Source organism: Homo sapiens, chromosome 8, assembly GCF_000001405.40.
Source record: "Homo sapiens chromosome 8, GRCh38.p14 Primary Assembly".
In the NCBI taxonomy this organism is placed as follows: domain Eukaryota; kingdom Metazoa; phylum Chordata; class Mammalia; order Primates; family Hominidae; genus Homo; species Homo sapiens.
Genome location: NC_000008.11, coordinates 18,966,233 through 18,988,077, shown reverse-complemented (window position 1 = coordinate 18,988,077; position 21,845 = coordinate 18,966,233). Strand labels below are relative to the sequence as shown.

Genomic DNA, 21,845 nt, shown 5'->3' with positions numbered 1-21,845 from the left:
CTTACTTTGTGCCAAGCACTATTAAATGCAAGGGATTCAAGTATATCTAGCAATTAAGGGCTTTGTTTTGTTCGGTGTTATTGCCCCATTGCTAGCATGGTGCTTGGCTTATGGTAGGTACTATGTAAATATTTGTTGAAAGAATGAAAAACTTAAAGCCTAGGCCCTTGTTTTGTATTTTTTGTGTACACTCAGATTTAGATTATGTAATTGCAGCTCATTTTGCAAAACGGATTTATTATTTTCTTTCTTTTTCTTTTTTTTTGAGACAGGGTCTTGCTCTGTTGCCTAGGCCGGAGTGCAGTGATGCAGTCACGGCTCACTGCTGCCTCTTGGGCTCAGGTGATTCTCTCACCTCAGCCTCCTATGTAGCTAGGACTATAGCACGTGCCACCACACCTGGCTGACTTTTAAAAATTATCTGTAGAGATGGGGTTTCACTGTGTTGCCCAGGGTGGTCTTGAACTCCTGGCTTCAAATGATCCTCTGCCTTGTCCTTTCAAAGTACTGGGATTACAGGCAGAGATTTTTGGGAGGCCGAGGCGGGTGGATCACGAGGTCAGGAGATCAAGACCATCTTGGCTAACACAGTGAAACCCCATCTCTACTAAAAATACAAAAAATTAGCCAGGCGTGGTGGCGGGTGCCTGTAGTTCCAGCTACTTGGGAGGCTGAGGCAGGAGAATGGCGTGAGCCTGGAAGGCAGAGCTTGCAGTGAGCCGAGATTGCGCCACTGCACTCTAGCCTGGGCGAAAGTGCGAGACTCCGTCTTAAAAAAATATATATAAAAAAAAAAATAAAAAAGAAAATAAATTTCTCTAAAATAAATCTCATTTATTTCCTGGTAGTTTTAAAATTTAAGCTAAACCTCAAAAAATTTTCTTCTAAAACATAATAAATAATACCGTGAGTGTTGTATATCTTTTAAAAACAAAAGGGTGGAGTGAAAATGTTTTACCAAATTATTAGGTATAGTTTGCAAAGCACTATTATGCATAGTATGTTGTTCGCCTCCCTGTGACGGCACCATTAACCCATTTGTGCCGGAGGTTGCAAATTTTTTTTGTGAAAAGATCAGACCTTGGCGATGACCTTGAGCAGTAGGATATACATAACTCCCACAAGCTTAGCGTTCCATTAATGGAACACTAAGCATAAATGGGTTAAAGTAGGCCCACGGTGTGTGAGGTCCAGAAAAGTGAGTTGATTTTTTTCCTCAAGTCCTCATGGATTAGGCGTGGGAAGAAGTTCCTTATCTGCCCACTGCTGGCTCTTTGTTCTGCCTCATCTTGGTCTTCCCTTAATGGAGTACTCTCTTTTGTACCCAGTTTGCAAATGGCTACGTTAGCCCGTTGGGTTTAAAGAATACTTTAGGGGCATTCAGCGATAAGTGAAGTGTCTAACTCTTCAAAAAGAGCCATAGTAATATATCTGCTGACCGGATAAGGAAATACAGCACCATTAATAAAATGCTTGTGAGATTTTTTTTTTCAAACATTGAACTTTTTTTTTTTTTTTGCTGAGACCATTTTATCTCAAGAAAGAGCTTATGGACTTCCTGAGAATGTGTAGTGAAGCAGAAAAAGCCAGAGAGACCTTACTGAATTCCCTGATCCTTGAGTGTATCTTTCGGATACAAAATGGGGTAATAATACCAACCTTGCAAGCGTGTTCTGGGAATTAAATCAGAAACACAGTGCAACTCATATGAGGTACCCAGTATTTGACAGTAAAGGCAAAATAAAAGCACTAACAAAAACAAGTGAAAAACTTAACACCAAGGGGCGAAAACAATTTATGTGCCTTTGAAAACTTGATAACTGAAGTTCTAATGACAGTCATTTATATCTATTCATTAATGCAGTTTCTCCAGGGACCTCTACTGTTAATCCAATTTCAGTTATTCTCTGTATGTGAAAGCATCAAAATTATTTTCTTTTTAAGATAAAACTCCTAAATTCATTTTGACCTTGCACAATTAATCTAAGTTAATGAGGTTTTGTTACATCATTATCCAATGTGTATTTTAAGGTTCTACTGCTGTGCTACCCTACATTTTGTGACCTAGGAATTTTAGATACAACTGTAATCTTGGTCTTTAAATAGAACTTTGAGTAACAAAGTGAGGTAGGATATTGACAGCAAACTATAATAATAAAATGTAATTATAATATAATACTATTAATTTAGAGTTAGAAAGTATCCATTAAAAAAAGTATCCATGAATGTCCAAACTAAATAGGAAATATTTATTTGGCTTCTAGGAAAATGAAATACATCATTCTAATATTTTAATATTTAGAAAGAAAAGATCTCATTACAACTTAAAAAATGATTTTTTACTGATAAGTGCCATTGACTTCATTGAAATGCCTGCTTTTAGTAGTCAAATCCCAGAAGAAAATGCTATTTTTAGGAGTATGTTTAACTGAAAAAGCTCATATTTCTATTCAAGTTTAGGCAATTACTCTTGACAAAAGACAAGTAAACTAATGTTTCATGATAAAGTCCCCAAGTATCTCAGACTTAAGCAAAGACCCCAAATCATAGTTTGTAGCTTTATTGCAGCTTTCATTCAAAATATGTTTTATATCATCTCTTAACTAGGGAATTCCTGGTGCCTTCCTATTAGGATAAATAAGCAAGAAACACAATAGGACAGTGATTGTATTCTTAAGTATTAGGGAATTTAGGGCCCCAGATATTCTATATGCAGACCTCTGTGCTTGTGTTTGTTCATTTTAATGAGACTCCAAAGGCTCATAATTTTACAGGAGGTATAGTGTTTCAGTTCCAGAACCAGGTAAAGACAGGGCAGCCCTCCACTCTATAAAAGCAAAGGATGACCGGGCGCGGTGACTCACGCCTGTAATCCCAGCACTTTGGGAGGTCAAGGCGGGCAGATCATTTGAGCTCAGGAATTCGAGACCAACCTGGCCAACATGGCGAAACCCCATCTCCACTAAAAATATAAAAATTAGCCGGGTGTGGTGGCGGGCACCTGCAATCCCAGCTACTCCGGAGACTGAGACACGAGAATCGCTTGAACCTGGAGGGCAGAGGTTGTAGTGATCCAAGATGACGCTACCGTACTCCAGCCTGGGCAACAGAGTGAGACTCTGTCCCCCCACCGCCAAAACAAAAAAGCGAAGCGTGATGGGTCAGGGTTAGGACCATTTCCTGGTGACATTGAGCTGGTTAAGTTGGTGGATCTATGAGGGGAAACTGGCTGCCTTCACAGCCTCCAAGGTCTTTGCCTTGTGCACTGCAGCTTGGCCGTACTACCCCACAGTCAGGTTGGCAGAAGTATGATCTTTTTTGTCTGTCTTATGGGATAATAGTGAATATTTACTTTTATTATTTGGAAAATTTCAAATGTGAAAAAATTTAAAAACCTCAACATTTTTGTAGCTACAATTAAGGAATTATAATACAATTTGGTAAGACTACAAAATTCACAAAATTATATTGTGGCCTCATTTTAAAAACTGAAAGTTGTTCCTTCAAATGCTCAAATAGTTTCTTTGATAACATTTTTTGAGAGCATTCTTTAAAAAATGTATTACTGCCCCATTTTTTTGGTATTTTTAATGTATGCACTTAATACTGTTTAACTTTTTAAAATAATTCTGGTTGATTGTTTTCAAATATTTTAATGCAGTGATGTTGTCTTCATGGGCTATAAATTTGTACCATAATGTAAAGACATTATGTTAGGATCATTTTAATGTATGAATACCTGGGCTTTAAGTAAGGATCTGTTGAGAATTGTGTAGTTCAGTTATGTGGTTTAACAACTAGAGAGTCAGCTCTATTGTAAACATGTAGGCATAGCTTGTTTTATTGTGCTTTGTAGATATTATTATTATTATTATTATTATTATTTTAATTGAAGGGTTGTGGCAACTTTGTGTGGAGCAAGTCTTTCAGCATCATTTTCCCACTGTGCTCACTTTGTGTCTCTCTGTCACCTTTTTGTAATTCTTGCGATATTTTAAACTTTCTCATTATTATTATTATACCTATTGTTATGATCTGCGATCAGTGATTTTTTTTTTTTTTTTTTAAATAATGAGATAGTGTCTCACTTTGTTGCCCAGGCTGGAGTATGGTAGCACAATCATATTTCACTGCAATCTTGAACTTTTTTGGGCTCAGATGATCCTCCTGTCTCAGCCTCCTTAGTAGCTGGGACTACAGCACATGCCACCATATCCAGCCGGTTAAAACATTTTTTTTTTTGTAGAGACGGCGTCTGGCTATGTTGCCCTGGCTAGTCTCCAGCTCCTGGACTCAAGCAATCCTCTTGCCTCAGCGTCCCAAAATGGTAGGATTACAGGCATGAGCCACTGCACCAGTCAGTGATTTTTGATGTTACTCTTGTAATTGCTTTGGGACACCAAGAACTGTGTCCATGTAAGATGGAGAACTTAAAAATTGTCGTATGTTTTGGCTGCTCCACGACTGGTCCTTCCCCTGTCCCGCTATTCCCTGAGACACAACAATATGAAATTAATCCAATTCATAACTATATAATGGCCTCTAAGTGTTCACGTGGAAGGAACAGTTGCATGTTTTTCACTTGAAATCAAATAAATGATTAAGCTTAGTGAGAAGGGCGTGTTGAAGCCAGGCCAAAAGCTAGGTCTCTTGCACCAACAGTTAGCCAAGTTGTGGATATAAAAGAAAAGTTCTGGAAGGAAATTCAAAGTGCTTCTTCAGTGAATATGTGAAAGATAAGAAAGCAGAAGCCTTATTGCTGATATGGAGCAAATCTGAGTCATCTGAATGGAAGATCAAATCACTACAACATTCACGTAAAACAAAACCTAATTCAGAGCAAGCCTCCAATTCTTGGCTGAGAGAGGTAGAGGTAAGGAAGCTGCAGAAGAAAAATTGGAAGCTAGCAGACATTGGTTCATAAGGTTTAAGGAAGGAGGCCATCTTTATAACATAAAGGTGAAGCAGCAATTGCTCATGTAGAAGCTGCATCAAGTTATTCAGAAGATCTAGCTAAGACCATTGATGACTGAGGCTATGCTAAACATCACAGTTTCAATGTAGACAAAACAGCCTTCTATTGGGAAAAGATGCCGTCTGGAACTTACATAGCTACAGAGAAGTCAATGCCTGGCTTCAAAGCTTCAAAAGACAGGCTGACTCTTGTTAGGGGCTAATGCAGCTGGTGACTTGAAGTTGAAGCCATTGCTCATTTACCATTCTAAAAATCCTAGGGCCCTTCAGAATTATGCTAGATCTACTCTACTTGTGCTCTATAAATGTAACTACCAAGCCTGTATGACAGGACGTCTATTAGCAGCATGGTTTACTGAATATTTGAAGCCAACTGTTGAGGCCTGCTGCTTAGAAGAATATTTATTTCAGAATATCACTGCTCTTCAGCCATGCACCTAGTCACCCAAGAGCGCTTATGTAAATCTACAAGGAGATGTATGTTGTTTTCATGCCTGTTAACTCAGCATTCATTCTGCAACCAATGACTCAAGGAGTAATTTTGACTTTTGAGTCTTATTATTTAAGAAATATATTTCATAAGTCTGTAGCTGCTATAGATAGTAATTTATCTGATGGATGTGGGCAAAGTCAATTGAAAGCCTTCTGAAAAGAATTCACCATTCTAGATGCCATTAAGAACATTTGTGATTCATTGGAGGACATCAAAATACTAACATGAACAGGAGTTTAGAAGAAGTTGATTCCAACCCTCATGGATAACTTTAGGGGTGAGTTCAAGACTGCAGTGGAGAAAGTAGCTACAGATTTGATGGAAATAGCAAGAGAACTAGAATTAAAAATGGAGCCTGATGATATGACTGAATTACTACAATTCCAGGATGCACCATTAGTGGATGAGGAGTAGCTTCTTATGAATGAACAAACAAAGTGGTTTCTTGAGATGGGATTTACTCCTGGTGAAGATGCTGTGAACATTGTTCAGATGATAACAAAGGATTTAGAATATTCCATAAACTTAGTTGATAAAGTAGTGTAGGGTTTGAGAGGATTGACTTCAGATTTGAAAGAAGCTCTACTGTGGGTAAGATGCTGTCAAACAACATTGTATGCTACAGAGAAATCTTTTGTCTTAAGAGACCATTGATGTGACAAACTTCATTTTTGTCTTATTTTTTAAGTTGCCACAGCCACCTCAGCCTTCAGCAGCTACCACCCTGATCAGTCAGCAGCCATCAGTAATGAGGAAAGACCTTCCATCAGCAAAAAGATTACAACTTACTGAAGCCTCAGATGATTGTCAGTATTTTTTTTAGCAATAAAGTATTTTTTAATCAAGATGTGTACATTGACATTGTTTTCTTTTTAGACAGAATGCTCTTCCACAGTTAATAGACTGCAGTATAGTGTCAACAACTTTTATATTCACAGTGAATCACTGGAGTGATTCACTTTATTGTGATGTTTGCTTTATTGTGATATTCACTGTATTGTTGTGGTCTGGAATTGAACCCACACAATCTCCAGAGTATGCCTGTATATACAGAATCTTAACAGGAAGTCTTCTAAATACTTTTCAAGTGCTAGCTTACTTGTTCCTTATAACAACCTGATGAGTTTGTTTTATGGTTATCTCTATTTTCCAAAGACACAGGGATGTTGAGTACCTTATCCAAGGTCACCCACTAGTAAGTGATAGAATCTGGGCTTCAATTCATTTAGTCTGGCACTGGAGCCTGCACTCTTTAAATCACCATAGTAGTCTTTCTGCTTCAATAATGAGTGGACTTTTTTTGTATGTGTGTTGGGGGGTGACCTGTGACTTTTCTTGCGTCTTTCCTGATTTTTACATGTCTTGAAACCACTATATTTCATTCATCTGTTCATTCAACAAATATTTATTGAGTATCCATTATGTGGTGCTGAGGGCTAGCAGTGTCCTGGTGGACCCTTATGTTACAGCCTAGGTGCCCAGCAGTCATTGACTGTTTTAACTTAATGTCTAGGAGGGAAGACAGACATAACAAAGGGAAACTCACGGGGGAGGGGAGCAGGGACAGGGGAGCCAGGGTGCAAATAACTCTGAAACTAGGACCTGAGAGGTGTAAAAGATTTAGCCAGGTTGGGAAGAGGGTGTGAGGAGAAGAGGGTGGTATTCCAGTTGGGGGAGTAGCTAAGTGCGAAGACCAGCGATCAGAAGCTGTGAAAAGAGTTCAGGGAACTGAAAGAGGTTCACTGTGGCGGAAGCACTCAGTGTTCCGAATTAGGAGTGGGGATGGTGAAGGGTGTAAATAGTATTCAGGTGTTTTAAGATCAGGCAGAAGCGTCAAATAACTGATTAACTTTACACTTTGATCAGTTGGATATGTTTATTGTAATTTCTAGGATAATGAAAGCCCAAAAGCAGCATATAGCATCTAAACTTGAGCGTGTGTGGAGGGAGAGAGGGAAAAATAAAAACAAAACTAAGTCAAAAAGAGGCAAGAAAGGAGAGAAGGATAAAATAGATGAGATGAATAGCACAAATAAGATGGTAGATGTAAACCCTAATGTATTTGTAATTATATTAAATGTGTATGTTCTAAATGTACCAATTAAAAGATAAAAGATTGTCAGACTGATAAAACCCAACCAACCAACCAACCAACGAACCAACCAACCAACCCAACTAGGTGCTACTTTCACTTGACAGAGAGGGAATACCTCCAGGAGATGAGAAATGACAAGAGGTGACCATAAGATAAGCTACCTCCATCTCCTTCCCTGTCTGTCTACCCTGGAAGCCACCACATTCTTAGGAAAGCCACTGGACTTCCCACTCTAAGTGCAGCGGAGGTGATCCTGGGAGATTAGCACTGTCTGGGTTACTCAGGTCTGGCTTTCTCACCAGCTTGTGAGGAACTTTTTGGCAGAGGTGGAGTCTCACTCACATACCTCGTGCCTTCCATAGTGTTTGGCAGACAGTAGGTCTTTAAGTAGCATTTATCATGTGTGTACATTTGATTTCCATATGAGATTGTAAACTCTTTGCAGGGCAGAGAACCTGTTACACCTTTGAGTTTTCCATAATATCTGCTAAAACATAGATCAGTGTATAATTGCCAAAACATAGATCAGTGTATAATGAGTGATTCTTATTTAATTCTGTCAAGATTAAATCTGATTTCTGTAGAAGGATACTGTTCCACCTTTCAATGATTTGGAGGTTTGTTTCCACAGCAGAGAAGAAATAAAAACCACTTTCTGCAATAAAGACCTGATAACCTACTTTTTCTTAAGTAGATTTTACAGTAGGAGAGTATATTCTTTTATTTGTTCTTTTCTTTCTTTTAGTTGTAGCAAGAATTTCTATTAAACTCCTCTCATTGGGCCAGAGACTCTTGTGGTGTTAGTGAAAAACTTGTCCCTTGCGTAACACCCTGTCTACACTTGTGAGTTCATTGGCCAGTCACTGGCCTCAACTCCGAGCTCTAACAAGAAGAATATATTCATTTTTATTTTAAAGAGCATGATTTATTTAATATAAAAATAAATGCTTCACTCATGTATAAGCTGTAAGGAGATATTAGTAGTAAAATAATAAAAATATTTTCCTTGGAAGAACTGTGGGCAGACCATATCAAAACAGCAATTTCTGGTTTTGGAATGAAAGATACTATTGATTCTATTAATCCAAATGCCAACAGTTCTCTGGTTGAGTAAGAATGTGCTCCCTAAGAGAAAACTCACTTGGCATCATGTAAGAGCTGCTCATTATGAATAGAAAGAAATTACATAATCCAAAGTGAAAGCAAGTCATTCTGCTTTTAATTACAGTGTATAAAAATTAAAACATGGGCCGAGGGTCTAGTTGGATATACTTCTTGGCAACAGACATTTTGGAAGCCTGCAATGAAAAATACAACAAAGATGGCTATGTGCTGGCCGCCCCCCAGTGTCTTGGTGGTTTCCCGTTTAGTGACTGTATTCAGTTATTGTGAAATCACAGAATTTTAAAGCAGGAAAAAGACCTCAGAAGTCTCTTCTTACCCATTCGTCCTCCAGATGAGAAAATAAGCCCACAGTGGTAAAGGGATTATAGTGAGGTCATATAGCGAACTCCAGAAGGAACACAGGCATCTGGACTCCTGTCTGGCTTTCTTTGAGACTGAACTGCTTCACTGCTGCCTGGAAGCTCTTCTGTGGTTGTGGCTTCTTGCTGGCCTTAGTGTAGTGATAAGGGGGTGGGAATGAGGGTAGAGGGTAGGAGAGAGGAAGGGAGAGAGGTTGAAAGAGAGAATGAGTCATTGTCATTGAGAGGGATTGAGAGACAGAGAAGATGATAGAGAAAGACGTATGTCTGCTTTGCTGCTTCTCAGAAGTGGTACCAATAAAGCAGTGCTCTGAAGCAGTGTCTGCTGCATCAGTGAGCTGCGGAGCCTGGCAGTGGTTGAGGTGTGGGAACATTCTATACCTGCCACTGGCTCCTCCTCATTCCTGCGCTGTAAACCCCATGTTGAGGTTACTGTGTCTGTGTTTATTGCCTCTAGTCCAGTCCAACCATAGATGTAGCCATCTCAGGTTATGGAGAGATGTTAAGGAGAGGAGGGGCAAATTGAAAGGTGCATGTTTTAGAATTTGTTAATTTTCAGATTTTTTGAATCTTAGCAAAAGGATTTCCTGAGTATAACCTCACGTTTCCCTTTCTACTTCCAAATCTGAACAAAATCCTGTGACCTTCCTTGCTTACTCAGAGCTGGACATAGTAAGAGAAGTCATCATGCAAAATGATTTTCTGGAAGTATTTTGAATGTTTTAGTTATTCTTTCCCAGTTCACTCAGAGTCCGTTATGGATTTGCTGCTGTGAAAAAAGTGTTGAAACCCAGCGTGTGGACGTGCAGTGTTGCTTTTAGCCTTGCAGGCAGTGCCCTCTGGCCTTTTCAGCAAACTTCAGCTCTGAGCTGTGTTACCTGCTTTGGCTCCTATTGCATTTACCTGGGGCGAGATTCTGGCTTTCAAATTCCTCCCTAAAGTCAGGTGGGAGCCTGGCCCAATGGAGAATGGCAGTCTTAGGTACTGATGATCAATTGCTGTTTTCCTTGCTAGCGTCATGATATCGAACGTATGGGTTCTCAGTAAATCATGTATTGTTCACTTGTTTTTGCTCAAAAGTCCATCTCTGGTTACATCATTGGAAGCCTCTCAGTTTAACCTCTTCCTTTGTGACTTCTATGCTTGGAAATAAATTACGACAGTTAAAATCTTATTGCATAAGTAATGTGTGTTGATTTTAGGAAAATCAGAAAATAGGGATAAGTAAAAAGAAGAAAATATAAATAATTTATAATCCATCTCCCAGAGAGACCACTGGTAATATTTTAGTGCATGTCTAAATTTTTAATGTACACTTATTTACATAACATTAAATATATTTTAATAAAAATGACTTTGGGCTGTATATACTGTTTTTTACTAACATTTCTCATATGACATGTTCTATACATCTCTCATATCAGAATACAATTTTGTATTTTCAAAAGACAAATCTCTCTATCTTTTTAAATACAGATAAGCATAAAGAAAATAAAAAGGCCCATTATCTCTCAGTCCATGTGACATGTTAAAATGATTAGTAATAAAGCAAATAACATTAGTTGGCTGCTGACTATATGCCAGGGGGACTGTTTTATCTGTTAGCTCCTTTAATCCCCACAAAAGCCATCAGAAGTAGTTGCTATTATTAATCCTGTTTTACAGATGAGGATACTGAGGCTAAGTGTTTAATTCCCAAAGCCATACAGCTAGTAGGAAATGAGCTCAGATAGTCTGGCTCAAGAACCCAATTTTTTTTTTTTTTTTTTTTTGAGATAGGGTGTTGTTCTGTTGCCCAGGCTAGAGTGCAGTGGTGCAGTCTCAGCTCACTGCAACCTCCGCCTTCTGTGTTCAAGCGATTCTCCTGCCTCAGCCTCCCAAGTAGCTGGGATTACAGGCATGTACCAGCACACCTGGCTAATTTTTGTATTTTTAGTAGAAATGGGGTTTCACCATGTTGGCCAGCCTGGTCTCCAACTCCTGACCTCAGATGATCCACCCACCATTTCTTAACCACACTCATACCGTTAGACTTTAAAAACAAAGTCAAACAATAGTCTTTCTCTATTTTTTAAAAAATCTTTCTCTATCAGCATGTACAGAACTACCTCATTCTCTATAACAGCCACATATACGTCCTTTGTATACTTTGGTTTAACTGTCCCCTTAACTATTGATGGACAATTTGATTGTTTTCAGATATTTGCAATTACAAGCAATGCGGCAATATTGTCATACTAATGGTACTGTTTATTGAGTGATAAAATCAGCTACTATGGATAAATGCATAGAACAGTGCCTGCTACATAGTACGATCTGTGATTTATATTATTATTAGTAATACTGCGTGCCATGCACTATGCTTGAATTCTCAAAATATCCCTATGAGGTAGATTATTGTTATTATCCCTGTTTTACCTTTGAAGACATTAAGACATAATGAGGTTAAATAGTTCTTGTGTCATGTAGTAAGTGAAATCTGTGATTTGGACCCTTTTGGAACTTGGCTACTGCTAACTACATATTCCCAGCTTCAAGGGGGTCAGAGATGGAGAAAGCCTTGGTATTGGTAAACATTAGTAATGTCCACATATACTCCTACCACAAGGGTATGAAATTGCCTGTGTCACTGTACCTTTCTAGTCCTGGGTATCACAGATGCTACAATTTTTAATTGGTGAAAAATAGTATTTCAATGTAATTTGTAATTTATTTAATAATAAGGTTATACAATGTATCTTTATTGGGCATTTGTATTTCTTTTTTTGTGAACTGTCTTCGTGGTTTTATTGGATAGTTTTATTTTTAATAATTTTTATAAGCTCTCTGTAAAATAAAGAAATTAGATTTTGAATTCTCCTATGCATTGCAAATGTCTTTCTAGTATAAGCATTTTAATGACTGTATTTTACATTTTATGGTGATATTATAGTTTATGTGAATGGTGGGACTTTTGTTGCTTACAGTTTTTCATTACAATGCTGTCAAGAGCATCCATTTATTATTTTCTCTGGAAATTTCTTAGAAGTGTAAATGGTGGATGGAAGGGAATATACATTTTTAAGGCATTGATTCGTATTTTCTGTCTCTCTAGAAGAATGATAAAAGTAGGTTGACCATCAGGGTATGTCAGGGTGCCTATTTCTCAATAACCAATGATATTACATAATATTATTTTTAAAACTCTTGGCCAATGTGTATTTTTTTTTATGAGTTAGCATTGAGACATTTTCCATATGTTTATTTGCAGTTAGTATTTCTTCCTTTGTGAATTGCCTGTTCATGCCTTAAGAAGGATTTTGACTATATGTGCAATTTTTAAAATTTTGTAAAATCAGTTATCTAACAGTGGAATGAACCTTCCCAACACTGATGGTATTAGAGCAAAAGATACTGGAACTGTTGCAGGAAAGGAATGAATGTTTATTAATTTACTATCATAAGTCAACCTTTATACTTGTTATCTCTTTTACTCTTTCTATTTTAATCTTATGGATAAAGAATGAGGGACTTGGGTAAGCCAAGTGACTTATCTCTAGTTCCATAGTTGTAAATGGCAGAAATCGGCTACAAACGCTCTTCTGCGTGACTTTTAGCATATGCCTTCCATCCCACCAATTATAGCCTTCTACTCCTGAGCCATACAGAATCACATCAGTAGTAAGTTAGCTGGCTGAAGCCTATGGTACATATTGGCAAAAAAAAAAAAAAAAAAAATTTCAGAAAATGTTTATCTAGAATTATTCTGTGCATTTCAGAAACTTGGTGTTCTTTTATTTTTATTTTTCTGCAACTATTTTATTAAGTACCCTGATATATTAGGGATGTAGAAAACGGGGGGACTAGGCAGAGACCTTTTCCTTAATAGCTCTGAGCTTTTCCTCTTCCCCACCCTTCCAACCCTTGTCCCTTTTGAAAGCTTTGCTTCCCACCTGCCACCCAGCAGGCCTCAGCACTGCAGGGAGTGAAACCTCTGCCAGCCTCTTGTCCTTTCCTCACTGTTGTGTTTCTTTTCATACTCTGGTACTTAGAATGTCGCTTTTTCTCTTTCTCCAATGCCATGGCAACAGTGCATGGTAACTGCTTCCCTTCTGGTCAAGGAAAAAGATTTTGTATTTTTTTTTCCCTTTGACCTGTTTGTAATTAGCACTGCGGTCCACCCTTTCCTCCAGTGAAAAGCAAGGAAATACCAGGCTGTAGTCAAGACTGCAGGACCTGCTGGATGTATAGCTAGCAGGTCTTCTGTGCTCCTTTGCAGCAGTTTAAACCCAAGCCCAGCCTGATCATTGATTCTGAAACAGCACTCAACCCTCCACCCCTGTTCCCCTGCCCCTTCACTGTTTTTTGTTTTTTTTTTTTGACTTGATGTGTTATATTGGAGGTTGGTTCCTTCAGTCTCCCTGCACTAGAATGTAGGGTCCAGGGGAGTGGGGTTTCCTTTTGCTTGTTGCTCTGTGTGTTCCCTGGGACTAGCGCGTAGTGGGGCTCCCTGAGTTCTTGCCGAATGGCACAGGATTTGGTAGTGGAAAGCCTGATTTCATTTCATAGAATTTGCTCTCCTTGCGTCTTTTTCTCTCTTAAAGGCAGTGTCTGCATTCTATGTGGCCCTCCCTGGGAAATGTCAGTTTCAGAGGATTTTGAAGTCTATCAGATCCCAGGGCCTGAGCCAAGTCAGAGCCTAGTTGGAGTGCATTGTAATTGACATAAAAGATTTGCATTTGAAATAACTCAGAGGTTGGTTTGAATCCTGTTCCCCACATGTTTTTAGTCACTGTCTGAGTTTGAGGAAGGCTTTTTGAGCCTTTTTCTTTATCTGTAACATGGGCATAATAATGCCTACCTTGGCTTGAAGTGAAGATTAACTCTGACAATCTATGGAGAGAACTGGTACATAGAAAAATAAATGATGGTGGTAATATGGTTATTAGTATTTTCGTTTTCTTCTGTGTGATTTTCTATTGGTAAATGGAGTTATTTTATCATTTGTATTGTAGGCTACTCAATGGTTAAAAGCTAGATTGGGTGGCTTTGGAGTGTGATGGTCTGGGATCCTGTCCTGCTACTTAACAGCAATGTGACACTGTGCAAGAGCAGGCCTCCATTTGTAAAGAACAGTAAATGGTCATAATAGCAGTATCGACCTCAGAATGGACAGAAAGATTTGATCAGCACAAAGTTTGGTTCATAGTAAGTCCTTAGTAACTCATATTCTATAGTTTAATAATAACAGCAGAATGAAAGAAGCTTAAACTTCATCTAGTCCAACTCTAATACTCCCACTTCATGTCTAATTCTGCCATCTAGAGCAATAGAGATCCAATTGGTATCCTTTTCAGATATGGCCTTTCATATACTTAGGATTGAGTCCTGTTATGAACTGACTTGTATCTCCCTAAAATTCACATGTTCAAGTTCTAACCCATAGTGTGCTGACTGTATTTGGAGGTAGGGCATTTGAGGAGGTAGTTAAGGTTAAATGGGGTCATAAGGATGGGCCCCTAATCCAGTAGGACTGGTGTTCTTCCAAGAAGAGGAAGAGACACCAGAGTGTATACACACAGGAAAGACCATCTGAGGACAAGAGCAAGAAGGTGGCTGTCTCCAAGCCAGTAAGAGGGCCGCCACCAGAATCCAACCCAGATGGCACCATGCTCTTGGACTTCCAGCCTTCAGAACTTTGAGAAAAATGTCTGTTGCTTAAGCCACTCAGTCTTCTGTCTTGTTATAGCAGCCTAAGCAGACAAATCTAGATCCCTTTTCTTTTCTTATGTCATCATCCCCATCTTGAGGGGGTTTTCAGTTGCCTCTTCATCATTGTCACCCTTGTCTCAATACTTTCACGTGTCAGTGTTCTTTTCAAAATGGGAAACCTGGAGATGAACTCAGAACCCCCAGATGGTCCAAGCATTTTGGGTGCCGGACACTGCCCTTACAGTGGAATCGCAGATTGTGTGAGGTAGTCCATCGAATAAACCCCCAAGACTCAGGTCTACATTATCCTATATTGGGTCTGTTATTTTTGTCCAAATTCGAAGTTTTGTCTTGTTAATTTCAGCTTTTATTTGTTTCAGAATCTAGAAAATCATTTTTTTAAAACCTCGTTGGACAGGACCTTTGAAGGGTGGCCCAGCCAGCCTACCTACTTGCCCAGTGATGCTTTCCATGCTGTGTGTCTTAGTTTGAGCTGCTGTAGCAAATTATCATACACAGCGTAGCTTAAACAACAAACATTTGTGTCTCACAGTCCTGGAGGCTGGAAGTTTGAGATTAGAATCCTTGGTGAGTGTCCTCTTTCTGGTTTACATGTGTCCTTACATGGTGTAAACAGAGTTACCTAGTTTTCTGGCCTATTTTTATGAAGGCACTGATCCCATTGATGAGGGCTCCACCCTTATGACCTAATTACCTTATGAAGACCCTACCTCCAGATACCATCATACTGGGATTAGGGTTTTAATGTATGAATTTGGGGGGAACACATTCAGCACATTGCTCTCTTCCTAGCAGTGGCTGCCTCCATTGGTGGAGGTACTGTTTTGTTGTGAAACTTGTTCCGGGGTTGGATTCCTTCAAATGTTCCCAGGAATTAGCTATGTTGAGTCAAAATCTGACCCTGTGATAACTGCTGCTCTTTGATCACATCTGTCTGTTTGTTATTCCTGCACCTGGCAGTCTCTTACAGACTCCCTGCTCCCCTCCTGTTACCTGTTCTGAACATTATAACAGCGTTGTATTTAGTATCATTGCAGAAAATCAATTCCATTTGCTTTTCACAAGTGGAAATTAGACAAATGGATCTGGAAGTACATAAATAAAGTAGGAGCCTAGTTGACAGAAGGACACTCTATTTGGTTTGTTTTAATGAATAGCTTTCATCAGATCATACTCTATGAAAATAGATTGAGGAAATAGGCTATTCATTCCTTATTATTTGAATTAGTAAGAGTCATACCTTTCTTTTCTGTTTAGGATGATAGGCATTAAATCTTCATCTGACTCTTTATAGTATTTTGTTTATTTTTATTTTTTTTGACAGTCTTGCTGTGTTGTCCAGGCTGGTGTGCTGTGGCGTGATCTCGGCTCACTGCAACCTCTGCCTCCCAGGCTCAAGCGATTCTCCTACCTCAGCCTCCTGAGGAGCTGGGATTATAGGCACCCGCCACCATGCCCAGCTAATTTTTATATTTTTAGTAGAGGCGGGGTTTCACTGTGTTGGCCAGGCCGATCTTGAACTCCTGACCTCAAGTGATCCACCTGCCTTGGCCTCCCAAAGTGCTGAGATTACAGGTGTGAGCCACTGCACCTGGCCTGTTTATAGTATTTTAGAACAGGAAGGGACCCTCCGAATCCTATTTTCCACATCCCTCCATGGCAGAATTATCTTTTTATGTGCCAGGTCCCCTTCCTTTTTGAGGGACTCAAAGGCAGATGTGAGGCGGGACTCAAACTCCTTGTGCTGAAGCCCGGGGGCTGCAGCCTCATTCCCCTACCTCTGGCCATCAGATTGGGCCTGTGATCTGAGCACAATCAGCCCCACCCATTCTGGTATTTTCTCAGGAGAGTGGTTCTGTTTGTGAAGACTCTTGGGGCCAGCTAGGCCAGTTGATGGGGTATTGTCCTCATGACAGTATTCAGGGTCCAGAGCCCAGGCGCATGGGAGGGGACTGTCCACTGAGGGGAGGCCGTGGTGGCTGCAGTGACTCGGTCAGCCTGTGGTGTGGCAGGACCTTGGCTGAGCTTTGCCCTGCTTGTTCCCGCCTGAGCCTGGGTGTCCGGCCCTCCCAGAGACAGGGAGCTTCCCCAAACCTTGCCAGTAAACACACACCTTTTCTACCTAAACTAACTTGAGTCCATTTTGTTTTTAATTTGTAATCTACATAGGAAGGTCCTTATTTGACTGTTTTAAACTTGTGGCCTAGGATTCTGGGGTTTTTTCATTCCTGCCTAAGCACATGTGAGGTCTGCATGGTCTCATTAAGGAATGCATTCCCTGGGGTGGATAATTGCTATTTATGTGGCAGTTAGGAATTTTTTGTCTTTTTTTTTTTTTCTTGAGACAGAGTCTCGCTCTTTTACTTAGGGTGGAGTGCAGTGGTGTGATCTCGGCTCACTGTAACCTCCGCCTCCTGGGTTCTAGTGATTCTCCTGTCTCAGCCTCCCAAGTAGTTGGGACTACAGCCTCCCAAGTAGTTGGTACTACAGGTGCACACCGCCACGCCCAGCTAATTTCTGTATTTTTAGTAGAGACAGGGTTTCACCATGTTGGTCAGGCTGGTCTCGAAGTCCTAACCTCATATGTTCCTCCCACCTTCACCTCCCAAAGTGCTGGGATTATAGGCACGAACCACCGCATCCAGACCTCTCATCTTTAACTGATTGATTTTCAGAGGACAATTCTAGGAAAGACTAAATGTTTTCACCTTTTCAAAACAGGTGCTGTTAAGAGAAGGAAGATGGACGGGGAGCATGCCAGGATGTTGGCATTTAGGACATGGGAAGTTGTATAAAGGTGAAACTATGTCTGATTGTCTGGTAGAAAAATTACAGTCTAATTAGAAATGCTGAAGTTTTTCCAGACCTTTAGGGAATTCATCGAATTGCAAATAAAAGAAAATAAGGAATGTTGGTTTGCCGGTAATTAGATATATTGGGGGAAATGAGGTTGTTTCTTTTCTTTTCTTTGTTTTTTTTTTTTTTTTTTTTTTTTGAGGCAGAGTCTTGCTCTGTCGCCCAGGCTGGAGTGCAGTGGTGCGATCTCGGCTCACTGCAAGCTCCGCCTCCCGGGTTCATGCCATTCTCCTGCCTCAGCCTCCTGAGTAGCTGGGACTACAGGTGCCCGCCACCACGCCCGGCTAATTTTTTGTATTTTTAGTAGAGATGGGGTTTCACCGTGTTAGCCAGGATGGTCTCGATCTCCTGACCTCGTGATCCGCCCAACTTGGCCTCCCAAAGTGCTGGGATTACAGGTGTGAGCCCGCACCTGGCCGAGGTTGTTTCTTGTTTTTCCTTTTACCTAGCGTTTCTTTCTTTCTTCAAAAAACTAGATAGTGTTTATTAATTTTACTGTGCAAGCAGGAATATACATAAACTTTTAAAATTCTTAAAGCTATAGGTATTTTGCGCACTGTTTTAAAAAATCCCTTGTGGGGAGATTTTTTTTTAAATATTTATATGGAGAACATGTATCTGTTGTGTCTACAGACCCATAATGATGGAACTATTATTTCCTCCTAAATATTTGCTCCTCGTGACTAGAATTTTTGGACTTTGAAAGATCCTTGGGTTTACTTTAACTTACAGGTATGTTTACAGGAATTCAGGTCTGTGGAGTAAGATAGCCAAGGCTAATAGTTATGAAACATCCCATATAGTAATTTGAATACTGAATTTACCTAAAGATGAACATTCAAAAGATCAAGGGCATTTCATTAATGTAGTCTTAAATTATTTTGCTAAACAAAGAAGGTATATGACCTCTCTTTAGAAATGGCCACTAATAAAAAGTTGTTGGTATAACATAATTTTTTTAACAAGGCCTAAAACATGCATACATTGTCTGTCATTACAGAGTCCCCTGTCACCCAGAACTTTTCTGGTTATTAACACAAATTTATGGTGTACCGTTGATTTCTATGCAATTGAACGTGAAGCTAATGTTATAGTCATTTTATTGCTGGCTGCTGTTGCATCGAAATTTAGATGTCTTATTTTCAGGTTTGAATTAAGACAATATGTGCTTTGTAGGACACTTTGTCAACGAATATTTGTGGGAGAGGGATTTTTAAGAGAATGTATGGTTATGATGTGACTGCTTCGCACTTTACAGCTGTTATTAAAGTAGATTCCAGTAAGGTAAGTCATTCTGGAAGGCATTTCTGAATATTACCTCCTTCCCCTCAAGAAATGTTTATTAAGTTAATATGTTTTATGTTGTAATTTAAAGATTTAAAAGAATATTTTCCTTTTCATAGTAGACACTTTGGAAGGCTATATACTTATTTCTGTGATGTTATAATAACTCAATACATGCTACTAAATCTTTTTTCTTTGGAATTGTCTTCATATCCCCCACTGCATTTTAAAAACGTATCCCCAGTGGTGTTGGGCCTTTATATTTTTGTGGGTGGAGTTTTTTTTTTTTTTTTTTTTTTTGGAGACATTTTTTTTTTGCTCTGTCACGCAGGCTGCAGTGCAGTGGCGCGATCTCGGCTCACTGCAACCTCCACCTCCTGGGTTCAAGCGATTCTTCTGCCTCAGCCTCCTGAGTAGCTGGGATTACAGGCACATGCCACCACACCCAGCTAATTTTTTGTATTTTTATTAGAGACGGGGTTTCACCATGTTGGTCAGGCTGGTCTCAAACTCCTGACCTCGTGATCTGCCTGCCTCGGTCTCCCAAAGTGCTGGGATTACAGGCGTGAGCCACCACACCTGGCCCAGGCCACAACATTTTAAAGTATGCTCTGCAAGCTAGGTGACAGCAAGCTGGGAAATAGTTTTTCTTTAGTCTTGAGATGTCTATAAAGAAGCGTGCATCGTGTGATGTGAAAACTGGCGTCGAAGGTTCTTTCAGAATAGGAATTCCAAATGATTTGCTCAGGATTCCTTGAAATAACGTGTGTGGTTTTCTAAGGTGACCATTTGAACGAGGACAATTGATTTAGATATACACATTCTGCTTTTAAAATAAAGTTTAAAGTCTTCTTGAAAAGTTTATGGTCTCCTGTAAACTTTGCCTCAGTGTCAGAGAATCCTGATGAGTCAGAATTGGACTTGCAGGGAGGTTTTCTGAGTTGGAGAATCTCAGATGTTGGGTAGAAACATAAGGTTTTCTTAATTGAAGCCAGTGGCTGCCCTGAAGTGGTGCACAGTTTTGTGTGCGTGTGCAGAATTTCCTTCTCTGGCAATTTCAGGAACTATAGAAATGTGGACATAAATTTCTGTTTATAAATCTGGAGCCACCGTGAGGAGCTTGAGATGAATGTCTGCTGTGGTCAGAGTGCTCAGTGAGTTCCTCAAAGCAGTTACCAGTCTGGTTTTGGTGGTTTAGGTTTGGATCTTTTGCTAGCCTTTTGTAGAACTTGGATATTGGAAGCAATTCTCCTCGCAGCTCCCAGGAATATGTGAATGGGCCCTCGATACCCAATTCTAATTCTGAGCACTTGGAAAAAGTCTGTGTTGGGAGAAGCCTGTATCTTCCGTCACCTGATTTTCCTGATAACCTGTGTGTATCTTTCACATGCCTCCATTTCTGGTTACCAACTTTATCATGTGACTCTTTTGGCAGCTAGTAGATATTTTTAGTAAATATAAAGGAATTCCTCCTACCAACATCTGAGGTCATTTGCCTTTCCTTGATTTTCTAATTTTCTGGTTGAAATAGTAAAGAGAACCCTACCCTGATGGTCAAAGGTTCTAAGATGTTTTGTGGACCAGCTCATAAAGGCCTTCAGCAGGGCAAGTCTGGTATCTGCTGGGCTTTCTGGAAATAGTTAAGTGAGTCAATAGGTAGCTTTGATGTTGTCAGGTTTAATATGGAAATAGCATTTTACTACTAGTAATCTTAAGATTTTTTAATAGAAAATCCTGGCCAGGCGCGGTGGCTCACGCCTGTAATCCCAGCACTTTGGGAGTGGATCACCTTAGATCGGGAGTTTGAGACCAGCCTGACCAGCATGGAGAAGCCCCGTCTCTACTAAAAATACAAAATTAGCCGGGCATGGTGGTGCACACCTGTAATCCCAGCTATTCGGGAGGCAGAAGCGGGAGAATCACTTGAACCTGGGAGGCAGGGGTTGCCGTGAGCCAAGATCATGCCATTGCACTCCAGCCTGGGCAACGAGAGTGAAACTCCGTCTCAAAAAAAAAAAATAAATAAAGAAAAAAGAAAATCCTAAGTGGGATTCCATGCTGATAGGTCTTACAGCCCACGTGAAAAGAAAGCCAAGTAAAAGCTTTTATGGCAGGAAATGTTCCTGTCTGCCTGGAATGGTTTGGACCAGGCAAGCAGATTGGAATTGTTTTTCCTCTTAAGTTGCTTTGTTCTGTTTTTGGACATGTTTTCCCTGAACTACACTTAATAGCAAAGTGCACCTACCATCCCTTCTCCCCCTACCCAAGCCTTGCTTGTGAGTATCTCCTAAAGCAGCATGCTTTTAGGTATCATTTATTTTAAGACTAATTTGAAAATTTTATGCCAATTTTGCATTTCATTTAAAAATATATTTAAATATCAAAATCAGATTTTAAATGACCATCTATTCAAATTGAGCCCCAAGAAGATGTGCCCGTTGGTCCGGAAACGTTGCGTCCTCCTGGGGCACACTGGTTTGTGACCCTGGGGATCTGAGGAGTCCCCTGTTTGAGAAGAACAGTTGTAGGGCATAACTGGAAGCCAGGAGGTCTAGGGAAGTATTTTTAAAAATGACTCTATTTGTGTTTTTTGGTTTTTTTTTTTTTTTTTAAGACAGTCTCTCTCTGTTGCCCAGGCCGGAGTTCAGTGGTGCAATCTCAGCTCACTGCAACCTCCACCTCCCAGGTTCAAGTAATTCTCCTACCTCAGCCTTGCGAGTAGTTGGGATTACAGGCGTGCACCACCACACCCAGCTAATTTTTGTATTTTTAGTAGAGATGGGGATTTCGCAGTGTTGGCCAGGCTGTTCTTGAACTGCTGACCTCAAGTGATTCACCTGCCTCGGCCTCCCAAAGTGCTGGAATTACAGGCCTGAGCCACCGCACCTGGCCTGAAAAATGACTCTGTTTGACAGCCTAGTATAGGTGTGGAAACTCTGTGAGAAGT

General features: G+C 39.9%; 1 protein-coding gene, 1 long non-coding RNA gene and 1 other non-coding gene across 21 annotated transcripts in view; 1 reads left to right on the top strand and 2 right to left on the bottom strand.

Moving 5' to 3' along the window:
- Nucleotides 1–21,845, top strand: part of PSD3 (pleckstrin and Sec7 domain containing 3) — a 557,503-nt gene that overhangs the window by 96,728 nt on the left and 438,930 nt on the right. The window contains exon 2 of one of the 19 annotated variants that reach the window (NR_182062.1): nucleotides 4,247–6,312. The exons of 17 other annotated variants lie outside the window; for them this stretch is intronic. Coding sequence is in view for 1 of the 2 variants with exons in the window: in NM_001412876.1 (NP_001399805.1) it covers nucleotides 17,538–17,555 (18 nt within the window). In the remaining variant the exon portion in view is untranslated. Of the gene's footprint in view, nucleotides 1–4,246; nucleotides 6,313–17,479; nucleotides 17,556–21,845 lie in introns of those variants that run through there. One more of the 19 variants, NM_001412876.1, reaches the window with a different exon arrangement.
- On the bottom strand, nucleotides 8,306–8,459 carry LOC124900256 (small nucleolar RNA SNORA62/SNORA6 family). Its single transcript, XR_007061198.1, has one exon. It is a non-coding gene; the product is annotated as a small nucleolar RNA SNORA62/SNORA6 family (small nucleolar RNA).
- Nucleotides 8,760–12,757, bottom strand: LOC107986868 (uncharacterized). The gene is made up of 2 exons (XR_001745649.2): nucleotides 9,004–12,757; nucleotides 8,760–8,860 (listed from the first exon to the last, which is right to left on the bottom strand). It is a non-coding gene; the product is annotated as an uncharacterized LOC107986868 (long non-coding RNA).